Genomic DNA, 12,867 nt, shown 5'->3' on the forward strand with positions numbered 1-12,867 from the left:
TTATTTTGATATATTAGTTTCTGCTTGCATCCCACTAATGTCTAGCAAATAGGTTTTTCATGTATCTACCTAAGTTTGCTAACTACCTCAAAAGTTATTGGTGTAATCTGACTTAGCAGATGTCAGAAAATCCTGTAAAGCCACTCTAATTAAATCAATAAGTAAGTATTGAAGTAGGCATAAACAGATATGTGAAATAAGAAATCTAGGGATAGATCCAAATATAAATGGGGACTTAATCTATGACAAAAGAAGTATTACAATTTGGTGGTGAAAGGCTGAGTTATTTCATAGAAGGAGTTGGCAAACTGTTCATGCATCTGGAAGAAAAGAAAAGTAGATGTTTATATTATACCAATTCCAAAAATAAATCCTAGATGGATGCAGTGGATTAAAGGTTAAAATATAAAATAAATAAATAAAATCATATAAGAAAACCTACGAATCATAAATGTAATCTAGAGACAGGTGAGCTAGGCTTTTTCTGAGATGGTAGAAACACTGTAAGAGAAAACAAACATAGGTGACTAAATAAAATTCAAAACCTGAATTTTATGGCATGACAAAAGATGCTATAAAAAATACAAGATTTTGGGGGAAATAAAAAGTGTATAACCCTAGAGGGCAGGCAAAAATACCTATAATATAGCAGGAGCTCTTTAACATTTATGAGGAGATCAAATAATCCATTGAAAAAATGGATAACAAATATAAAAACATAGTTTACAAGATACGAAATTTAAGTAACCATCAAGCTTATGAAAAGATGATCAAATTCATTTGTAGTCAAATAATGCAAATAAAGTAACAATGCAATTTGACTTCACACCAGTTGCATCTGCAAAATCTTAAAAAAAATAGACTTTTAATAGTAAGGTCTAGGGAGACCTAGCAAAAGGAAGTGTTTTTATTAATTGTAGGTGCAAATAAATATGTATTGTTACAGCTTTCTTATGGAGGCAGTTTAATTTTTAAAACTATAAATACACATTTCCTTGACTCAATGATACCAACTCTATCAACAGAAATAGAAACACCAACATATATGAATATGGGGATGTTTCCTGAAGTACTATTTGTAGAAGAAAAACAGACTGGTCTTTATAAATAGGCAGAATGATAGGAAAAGTCATGATGTAATTCTACTACAGAGTATTATGCAACCAGTAAAGTAAATAATTCAGCTATAACTTTTCACATGGAAGAGATTTCCTCAAGGTATGATTGAATGAGAAAAACAAGGTCCAGAAAACAGCATATACATTTTCATTTTTGTAAAACAATGACCTAAAACACTGCATATGTATGCATACAAACAGGCACACACACAGATATGTCTGTGTATGATTACATAAATTCTAAAAACATTTGGAATGAGACATATTAGGTGTTAAATAGAGGGAGAGTGATAAGTTGGGGACAGAGAGGGGAGATGAAAGTACCCAAAGGTGGAAAATGCTGAATTTTAAAAATCAGAAATGATTTAGGGCATATCATTATGTAAAATTATATGTGTGTGTTTATATATAAGCTTTTTTTTTTTTTGAGACAGGGTCTTGCTCTGTCACCTAGGCTGGAGTTCAGGGATGCAGTCATGGCTCACTGCAGCCTCGACCTCCCAGGCTCAAGCTATCTTCCCACCTCGGCCTCCCAAGTAGCTGGGACTACAGGTGAATGCCACCATGCTCAGCTAATTTTTAATTTTTTTGTAGAGACAGAGTCTCTCCATGTTGCCCAGGGTAGTCTTGAACTCCTGGACTCAAGTGATCCTCCTGCCTCAACCTCTGAAAGTGCTAGGATTATAGGTAGAAGCCCATGAACCTGGCCTATAAGCATTTTTTTAGAAAGAATAACTAGACACTAGGTCATGTGGACAAAGCAATGGATCAGAAATTAGTGGATGACTGTGTTTTAATATTTATCATTAATAAGCCATGTTACTTCAGGCTAATCACTCAATCTTTCTGAACCCCAAATTAACTCACTGGCAAAATGAATTAAATGATTTCTGAGGATCTTTCCAGCTCCAAAATTCAAGGATTCCACTTCTTTGCACATGATGAATAATACATCAAACTGTATGATCTTCACTCAGGCTACAAAGTGTCAAAATAAGGCAAAATCAAATCCGGTTGGACCTAGATTTTGAAAATACATAATTTTATCCTTTAGCTCAATGTAATCCAGGTGATCTACTATCACATAAGATCTAACAATAAATAGAATGCATTTTCTCCTCTAAACAAGCTCTTCCTTCTAACTTCATTCTTTATATGAATAGGTTGAATATTTTCCCATCCCTGGTCTTAACTGCTTTCTGCTCAAACCATTTCTGTAGGTTTCTATTCTATTTCTTCCTTACCCCAGTATTCTGTTGCAAAATCACTTGCTCTGCCCCAGCCAGTCTTTCACTCTGTTTTGCATTTGTGTTTATTATACTTTTCCTCCCACTGTCTGCCCTCCTCATCCTCAAAAAGCCTACCTATTCTTCAAGGCCCCACTTAAATCCCATTTTTTTTCTGAAGTCCTCTAAAGCCTTCAAGTTATGAAGTCTCTCTTTTCTCAAAAAAGAAAAAAAAAAAAAAAACAACTCCTACAGGTTGGTTGGTCGTCTGTGTCCTTTGTATTGTTCTTTTCATGCACTGTTTTCGCACCATTGTTACTTATATAAATGCCTCATTTTTCCAAAAACACTGCAAGCCCCGGAAGGAAAAGAAAGAAGCCTATTGATTCATTTCTGTTGACTCCAGAGGACACAGTGCAGGGTCTTGTGCATAAAAAGTTGTTAATTGATCCTGTTACCCTCCAAAATGGCCATTATTACAGCTCTGCCAAATGTCAAACGTACAGGAAAATTTGATCCATGGCATGAAATGTTAAGAAAAACATAATGTAAAAGAGTGCTTTTGGAAGTGAGAAAATGGTGTTATCTTACTTATTAAACTTTATGTGTCTGTAACCCAGGTTTAGATAACTAAAACCAAGAACGCTGAACACCTGCTACGAAAAGTTGGAAGGTCTCATAAAGCCAGGAACACAGAATATCTCCTGTGTTGTAAGGCTGGTGCCAAGGAAGTTAATTCGCCAAAGAGGACTATAAAACATGAACAGCTCAAAGTTCAGCAACTGAAAGTTAAAAGACTTAGATGAAGATGACTTCACAAAACTCTCAGAAGTCCACTGTGTTTACTTCCATTTCCAACACATAGCTAACTTTTAGTTTAACTTTGAAAGTGCGTTTTATTTCATTTGCTTTGCTAATAGAGGTTTAATTGTCCATCAATTGAAGTTCAAGAAGAAAAGCCCAAATTGCTTGGCTAAGACCTAGCACTTGAAATCTCTGTATTTATGCATAGATAACAAATCAATACTACTCTCCAATCTGTCTGCTAATGGAATTGTCACAGCATCTCCCTGAGCCCAGAAGAGACTCGCCGAAGTTCTGAACCAACACTCCTTCCCTCCCTCACTGACTGGCAGAAATCTATGGGCTCCAGTGGGTCAGGCAAATCGAACATTTAAAAAGTATAACTACTTGTTGGTTTAGAATGGGGAGTATGTGTCTTTATCATCAACCAGAGTCCATTATGGTAAGATTTAATAACTTGCACTAAAAATGAGGTGCAAACAGGTGGCCCCCAGACTTAATGAGTCCCTTCTACAGAAGGGTGTGTTGCATCTGGGTGTGTGTGTGTGTGTGTGTGTGGAGTGTGTGTCCTGCATGGTTTTCTCTTCCTCCTTCCTTTCCTCTTCCCCTTCCCTTTCTTTTTCCTTCTTTCTCTTTTTTTAAACCTTTTTTTTAAGTTCAGAGGTAAATGTGTAGGTTTGTTACATGGGTAAACTCATGTAACAGGGGTTTGCTGAACAGATTATTTCATCACCCAGTTATTAAGCCTAGTACCCATTAGTTAGTTTTTTTCTGATCCTCTCCCTCCTCCCACTCTCCACCCTCTGATAGGCCCTAGTGTCTGTTGTTCTCCTGTATGTGTCCATGGGTTCTCATCATTTAGCTCCCACTTAAAAGTGAAGTATTTGATTTTCTGTTGCTGCATTAGTTTGCTAAGGATAATGGCCTCCAGCTCTATCCATGTTTCTGCAAAAGACATGATCTCATTCTTTTTTTATGGCTGCATAGTATTCCATGGTGTATGCGTATCACATTTTCTTTATCCAGTTTATCATTGCTGGGCATTTAGGTTGATTCCATGTCTTTGCTATCGTGAATAGTGCTGCAATGAACATACACATGCATGTGTCTTTACGACAGAACGATTTATAATCCTTTGGAATATACACCATAATGGAATTGCTGGGTTGAATGGTAGTTCTGTTTTTAGGTCTTTGAGGAATCTCCACAATGTTTTCCACAATGATGGAACTCTTTCCCTTTTTCCTTCCCTTTCTTTTCCTTCTTTTTCTTTTGAATTGAAGAGATCTTTCATAAAAATCCAGAATTCTCCCTTGCCTCTATTTATTGTTAAGGTTTGCATTTCCACATGGCAACCACTAGGTGGCGCTGAGAAGAACTGTCCCCCTTGACGGGCGTGGACTCTCCAAGTGACCAGGAGTCCTGCTACACTTGTTAACATTACTTACCTGGGGTTGTGTGTGCAGCTGGGTTTGAAGACCTTGCTCTAAGAGTACTGACAGTAGACTTCCCACTCTAATTTGCAGGCCTCTGAGGGCAGTCTGACATTGTGTTTAAGAACATGGACTCTGGGGCAGACTCCTTGGATTAGAATATCAGTTCCACCACCTAGCTTTAGCTCTGTGTGCTTGGGCAAGTAACTCAACCTCTCAGGGCCCCAGTTTAATCTATAAACTGAGGATAATAATAGTACAGCCTCATTGGGTTGTCATGAGGAATAGATTTGGCCTTTAGAACAAACAGCAACTTGGCACATATTAAGCACCATAAAAGTGTTAGCCTCTTTTAGAAACCTTGGTATTTAAGCTTTTATCTGTGTTAAAGTAAAAGTTATTCTGACACTTGTTAAAATGGTAAGAAGACTTTATTCAGGACTTTTGTGATGGGTATCAAGAATATTGCAATAGAGTAGAGAGATGGGGCTCAAATTCAAATACAACAAGAACAAGTAGAGATATTTAGCCAAGGAGAGGGTTGTGGTGGGGGGCAGGTGTGTCAGTGGATGTAAAATTACTAAGAGGAGACATCAAGCGAAGGGGGATTTTTGCTAAACCACTTAACAAATTCTTGCTGAAAGCATGGTTGACCAAAGCGATCAGATGTCAGGGATGGTGAATTCTCTCTAAGCTGGCTTAGCAAGGTTCTTGCTAAAACTGGACTCTGCAAAAGATGAACACAGATGCCTAAGGTCAAGACCTGGTTGAGAAGAGGGCTCAGCAAATAAAGGTTTTCTTAAAAGACTCTCTGTAACATTATAAATTCTTCCTGAATTGAGCAGAAATCACACAGAAGCTAATGGTACCTCTGAGTTTATCTTTAAGTTTAATGGGAACCGTATCCTTGACAGCAGACTCTTTTGGCACCTATCCTTAAAATCGTGAGCAGAGACTTAAAGCCTTGTTCTGGTAATACAGCAAGACTTCAGGGTAAACATTATCCACCTTTTACAGGGAGGGAAACTGAGGCCCAGAGGCTAAGTAACCCACTCAAGATGGAATACCTGTAATTCCTGTTGAACTGAATTCTAATGGATGCGAATGCCTGGACCCTTCCTATGCTGCTTCCTTATTAACTGTAACCATGAGAAGAAAATGGAAAGAAAGAAAAAATTTTAAAATTTTTATAGATATCTATATATCTATATATATCTCCCTAGAGGAGAGGGAACCTTCTATTTGCAAGTGATTTGCAATCCAGGGGCAGCCTAGATGGCATTAACATCCACTACAGTGACATTCATAACTGGTCACCTTAGGGAAAGTCCAACCAGCTTGTTGAAAGCTGACACTGTCACTGACCATTCTGAAAATAGTGAGTTCCACTACTATGCCATGCTGCCTATTTTCATAACAGACACCTGCACTTAATAAGAGAGGCAGCAGGGAATCTCAGCCCTTTGTGACTTCCCCCAAAGCCACGCTGATGGGAAGAGCATTAAGCAGAACGGATGGGGAGAGGTGTGGTGGCCCTGGACCGACAGGAGGCTGATGTAGTGCAGGTCATAGTGATAATCCTGTGGGCAGCAATTACCTTAGCCCACTTCAGAACCACTGCACTGCTAGAACAAGGGCTCCAGGATGTCATCATGCCTCTTTAGTGATATTAAATAAGAGTTACAGGGACCTCAGTGAGCACCTTTCTTTCCAGCCATCTGACAGCTGTTTTTAGTAATCAGATAGCTCCTGCAAAGACCCTCAGAGAACAGCAAGGCAAAAAGTAAGAGATTACTAATCCTCAAGAAAAGAGTAAAGAAAAAACATCATCTGGCATCCTATTCAATCTGATCTAATTGCTCCCTTTAATTGGGAACTTTTGCCTGGATCATTTGCATTCTGAACCCAGCAGATTCTGCCAGTGCAGAGTTTGAAGGAGAAGTGATTCAATCCTAGGAAACAGCCACAGGCTGGGAAGAGCAGTCCCTTCTTCTTTCTTTAAAAACATCATACCGGGGCACTAACAGCTGCCTAAAATGCACTTTTTGAAGACATTAGCTGAAAAATTGTTTTGTCCCTTCAGACTGTGGCTAAAGCAAGTCAAAATGGCTGAAGAGAAAGGAAGACTGCTTTGCTTAGTGCTACTAACAGTGTCATGTGGACTTTCAATTATAATGGTTACTTTAATAAAAGGCTCATGAGAAACAAGCTGCATCCCTTCTCCCCATCCAGTTTGTCTTTTCAACATTGTTCTAGAAAAACGAGCGCATGGCCTGTTATCTTACTGAATTCCACTGTAAGCAAGACTGGATAAAAACCAAGAGGTTAAAAAAAAAGGGGTTTAAGAAGCACGATGACCCTAAATATTCCCCCTTTTGTCAAATACAATTTGAACAGATGGCTTCTAAATTCACAACAGATTAGAATCATGGGACAGCAAGCACTTATTTCTTGCTTTCTCTATTGCAGACACTGTTCTGTATGTGAACTCATCTACTCCTTAGAACAGCTCTATAAGGATGGTCTTACTATGTGCCCTGCTTTGCAGATCTGGAATCTGAGGCAAGGTCACACCACTAGTGAGTTGTGCAGACCGAATTTAAATCCAGACCATCTGGCTCCTGAGTCCACATTGTTAACCAGTTTTACACAGGGAAGAGAGACCTCTTTTAATTTTTATTTTTTGTGGAGGCAAACTCAATGACTTGGACAAGCAGCATCATCAGACAGTAAGAACAGTAACAGAAAACTCAAAAAGCATAGTGGTATAGGAACATTCCTTTAAACCCTATTACTAACCGAAGCTAATAAAGGTCAATTGGGCAATACAGAAATCCGATACAGAAATCTTCATAATGATTAATCCAGTTTGGACATTTTAAGAGCCATAGACTCTTCTGAGAAGTTGATGAAAACCATGAACCCTCTAGAATCACATGCATGTACGTGTACACACACATATTTGCAGATCATTTTAGAAGGTTTACGCTCAGTGTTTTAGGGGAGGGAAAATTCTTTTTCCTCTTACCTTCCTAGGTTCTCTGGCTGGAGCCCTGAGAACCTAGGAAGGTAGTAGGAAAAAGAATTTCCAGACAAACGCCAGAGTATCAAAAGAAAAGCATATAACTGTATTTAACATAAGCTTTATGTGACATAGAAGCCTTCAAAAGGAAATGAAGACTTGTAGAATGGTTAAGCCTGAGCATTTTTTTTTTTTGAGACAGAGTCTTGCTCTGTCACCAGGGTGGAGCACAGTGGTGCCAACCTGCAACCTCCACCTCCTGGGTTCAAGCAATTCTCGTGCCTCAGTCTCCCGAGTAGCTAGGATTAAAGGCATGCACCACAACACCCAGCTAGTTTTTGTCTTTTTAGTAGAGATGGGGTTTCATCATGTTAGCCAGGATGGTCTCCATCTCCTGACCTCGTGATCCACTCCCTCGACCTCCCAAAGTGCTGGGATTACAGGCATGAGCCACTGTGCCTGGCCAAACCTGAGCATTTTTATAGTAGGGTTGATGAAGAGTGGAAAATCATGGAAAAATGTGATAAGACAAATGGGCAGGAGCTAAGAGTAGTAAACTGCTGGAAACTTAGCAAGGCCTGTTCCTTTGACTCCACTTGGATTCCCTCTGGGTATGGGGAGGGCACCCCTCACATGAGGGTCGTATGACCTGCTTTGGAGAGAAAGGGGCGTGAGAGTCCTTCCTGTACTTGCCATTTCTCAAATTCCTTCAGCTTAAAATAGTCACTATGCCAAGGCGCCCTACGTCGGGGTAGTTTCTGAGCCCTGTCACTAGCAGCCTTTCCACGGCTGCACATTAGTATCCTTTTCTCTATGGCATTGGAAAATGTCACAAAATAAAATGGACCTGCTTCAAAGACTTGTTATGAGCTCAAATGAAATAGGTTAAACACTTAGCATGCTGCTTAGAATATAATAAACAATCGTGAGTTATTATTCTTAAAAATTCGTATTTTGGCATAATTTACCTATGGAGGCAGGAATTATGAAATGTATTTTACAGAGAGTCCATCTTACATGGTCCAACATTTAAATAAGTTTACTATATGTTCCCCTAAATCCCAATCTAAAGACTACCACTTGAAGAAGTAACATTTAGCTAACTTGAAAATTAACACACAATAAGCTTTATTCTTTTTCATTCAGGTGGGAGGAATAGACTTTTTTGGTCCGTTTTCAACAAAAATATTTTTTAAAAAACTTGAACTCTTCTCCAGAAGAGGTGATTAAAACATTTAGGTTTGTTATTCTTTCCTTCTCTAATCAAGCTGGATCTTACCATCTACTTGGTTTGCCTGACAAATATTCAAATCTGAATATTTTCTTCTTTTGCAACTCAGCTTTGAAGGACTTCAATTGCAAGCTTATTTTAATTGCAAAGAGAATGCAACAGGATCTCAGGGCTAATCTCAGGGTTAAACAACACGCTAATAAAAGTAAACTAGGCAGCCTCCATTTGCATGTTTTTGCATTTGCATTTTAAAATCCTGTGTTAGATATGATCAAAGCTGCTCTGCATCCCAATTTTCTACAGGATATATTTAGCACCAGTAAAGTGCCACTCAGCCTTACAAACAAGTATTCTTGTCCTTGCTGCATTCTTGACCTTACTGATCTTGCTGCCTTTTTCTCTGGCTGCCACACTGCCCCCCTCTACCACCCCCAACTGTTCCAGGTTCACATTAAAACAAGTCTTCCACTCCACTTGCTTGCCTTTTGGCAAAGGCATCTTCCAAATGCAGAGGCGGACACCTAAGTGGGAGATCCCTGCTATGCCATAATAGGCTGAGAGCTTATTGGTAATTTCTGCTTTTAGCTCACATCAGACACCACCAAGTCAGACACCACCAAGTTCAAGCAGTACTCTTGCCTCAGCCTCCTGAGCAGCTGGGATTACAGATGTGTGCCACCACACCTGGCTAATTTTTTTGTATTTTTAACAGAGAAGGGGTTTCGCCATGTTGGCCAGGCTGGTCTCGAACTCCTGACCTCAGGTGATCCACCGGCTTCAGTCTCCCAAAGTGCTGGGATTACAGGCGTGAGCCACCACGCCTGGCCCTACTTGGGTCTTTAATCACATTGGAGGATGGAAAAATGTCTGGTGGCAATATTTATACAGTGAGGAATCCACAGGGAAAGGGAGCTGTTCACTGAGATGGTGCCTTGGGGGCTCTTCTGCTCTTAGAGAACACAGAGAAACCCAGGAATAGGCAAATTCCTCAGGGTCTTATGGTCTATACCTGCTCTGTGCTCCCCATTTGCTGTTTGCAAGGAGAACCAGGCTGCCTGAGAGAATGTGGGGTGCTCTGCTCTTGAGAATGAATAGCTTCTTTGCTGGGGCCACAATCTTCAGGTTTGATCTGACAGTTGTGATTAAAAAAGCGAGGAAGAGAAGGAAAGAACCCGTCACTCTCTTGCTTTACAGTCTGTAAAACATTAAGTTAGGCATCGCGAGTACATAAAGGTTTTGCTTTTTGCCCTTAAGGAAATATCAATCCTTTTGAGGAGACAAGACAAATTCAATAAGAAGCTATAAGTGAGCAAGAGTGTATATAATTAAGTGGCTTAATGCAGTGGTAATAAACTGCTTTGTAGATGTTCAAATCAGGGAAAAGGCCAATATTTCTAATTCAATTGACATTTCCTGTATAGCTATTCTATAGGCTAGAAAAAGTTGCCCCTATGTAAGTAAGTCTAAAGAAAAGTGAACATTTGAAATAAGAGAAAGGTGAATCAAGTAAAGATGAAAAAGAATGGTCTTTCATTAAAGATAAAATAATCCCTTAAATCACACAAAGACAATTACAAAATACTGCTGACATCCATTCATTTATTTAATAAGCTAACTGCCTTTTTGTGCCAGATATTCAGTATACAAATATAAATAAGACACACTTATGTCTCTGAGGAGCTCACACTTCCTGCATTAAACAGAATTAAAGTGTTGTAAAAGAAACAAAACACAACCCCCGCCCCCCAATGTCCTATAGAAGTACAGAGGATTTGTCATTTTATTCAGCACAGATCTTAAATTAGAGTGGAGAATCCTAAGCTTTGTAAGACGTATTTAATATGATCAAGAGGAGCTAGATGTTAATCTAGGGTAGAGTTTCTCACCCTGGAACTATCGACATTTTGGACCAGATAGCTTGTAGTGGGGAAGGGAAGAAAGGAGGATTGTCCTATGCACAGTAGGATGTTTAGCAGCGCAATGCTGGCCTCCGCTCCCCAGATCCCAGTAGTGCCCCTACTTCCAGCTGTGACAATAAAAAATGTCTCCAGACATTTCTGGGAGGACGTAATTGTCCCTGATTGAAAGAACCACTGATCCAGGAGGTGAGCATATTTACCTTTGATAGACAGAAATCTCCTTAGAATGAATGCCTGTGAGTTGATGTAAGATAACTTATTCCAGCTGGATATGACTTAATGATATAGTTTTCGGCTCTCAAGTCAAAGAGAGCACTTCTCATACTCTACCTGTGAGAATGCAAGTTAGTATAATTCCTATAAGGAACAATTTGGCAATGTTTATCAAAAATGCCAGTTTGTATACACTGACTCTGCAATTCCACCTCAGGTACTAATGTTGTAAGTAAACTAAATAAATGTGCTAATTGATATATGCACAAGGTTTTTCACTACATGAAATAACAACAGATTAGAAGCAATTTAAATGTCCATTAATAAGAAGTTAGTTATAAAAATTATGCTATTTTGATGAAATGAATACTAAGCAGCCATACTCAGTAACGAGGAAGCTCTTTAAGAATTGATATGGGGCTGGGTGAGGTGGCTCCAGCTGTAATTCTAGGACTTCGGGAGGCTGTAGGGGGGTGGATAGCCTGAGCTTAGGAGTTCAAGACCAGCCTGGGCAACATGGTGAAACCCCGTCTCTACTAAAAATACACACACACACACAAATTAGCCTGGCATGGTGGCACGCGCCTGTGGTCCCAGCTACTTGGTTAGGAGGCTGAGGTGGTGGAACTGCTTGAGCCTGGGAGGCAGAGGTTGCAGTGAGTTGAGATGCTGCCACTGCACTCCAGCCTAGATGACGGAGTGAGACCCAGTCTCAAAAAAAAAAAAAAAAAAAGAATTGATATGGAATAATCTCCAAAATACATTTTTAAGTAAAACAGCAACTAAAACAAAACAAAAATCCAATAATAATAATAAAATTTCAAGATACTGGCATATTTTGTATGCTACCATTTGTATTAAGAAGAGAAAAATGAGTATCTTTGCTTGTAGACATATAAAATATTGCTGCAAGGATAAATAAAAAATTGCTATCAGAGAAGGAAGATGGTGCTTGGGGGACAGAATGGATGGAACATTTTTCGCTTAGTATCCTTTTGTATTTTTGGAATTTTAAACTATATGAACTTATTACCTACTCAAAAATAATAAAAAAAATGTAAGGCCTGGTGCTCCTCACCTAGGCAAAACTGAGCAAGCATGCACGCTGACGTTTCTGTCAGTGATGATGGATTCGTGCTGGTCTACGCTTCAACACCCTTTCCATCTGCTCTTTGCTGTGCAGGGAGGTCAGCCTGGCCATGCAACTAAGGAAACCATAATTTTCTTATCCATCTTGGTTATCTAAAAGCTCCAAGCTGGGCAATGTGAGTAGTTTTCAAAGTCAACAGCTGAGAAATGCTTTTTAAAGTAATGTCTGTTAGGCCACAAAATAAAAGTTTACTTAAGTTACTTTTCCCAGACTTTCTGACTCCTGTTTATTAGTTGATTTCTCTGCCCTGCCCACCCTCCGCCATCCCCCTACTTTCCTATTCCTGGTAGCTCTAGCAGTTGGTTTTCAAATCATACATTCCTCAAACAATAAATCCAAAGATGACCTAAGACAAACAACTACGAAATTAAGTCAAAACATCAATAAAAGTGATTAAGAAAAAAATGCATTTATTTTTATTTCTCTAGTCTATATTTTGGGAATTGACTAAATGTCAACATACAAAATTTAGAAAACATATTTTAATTGCCAGTTATCAAATCCACGTCTTCTGTCAGTACTGGGCTTAACTGAATTTATCATATCTCATGAAAGCACAATATTATACTAACTGGTCTCATTCAGTCAATGCTAAACACTTACCCGCCACTTGCTGCTAATGTTACCTTTGTAAAACAAACAAATATGCCACTTCTCTGTGCATAAAAAATTTTAATCGTTCCCCATTCACCTACAAAATAAGATGTATACATTTGGGCACAATTTAAAAAAATGTCCTTCACTATCTGAT

At 39.0% G+C, this 12,867-nt stretch overlaps 1 protein-coding gene across 10 annotated transcripts in view; it reads right to left on the reverse strand.

Annotated features, from left to right (window-relative positions):
- Positions 1 to 12,867, reverse strand: part of GPRIN3 (GPRIN family member 3) — a 71,418-nt gene that overhangs the window by 14,063 nt on the left and 44,488 nt on the right. Inside the window, exon 1 of one of the 10 annotated variants that reach the window (XM_047450093.1) lies at positions 1,986 to 2,563. The exons of 8 other annotated variants lie outside the window; for them this stretch is intronic. The gene's annotated coding sequence lies outside the window, so the exon portion shown is untranslated. Of the gene's footprint in view, positions 1 to 261; positions 1,500 to 1,985; positions 2,564 to 12,867 lie in introns of those variants that run through there. One more of the 10 variants, XM_047450092.1, reaches the window with a different exon arrangement.

The sequence above is a fragment of the Homo sapiens genome, chromosome 4 (assembly GCF_000001405.40).
Source record: "Homo sapiens chromosome 4, GRCh38.p14 Primary Assembly".
Classification (NCBI taxonomy): domain Eukaryota; kingdom Metazoa; phylum Chordata; class Mammalia; order Primates; family Hominidae; genus Homo; species Homo sapiens.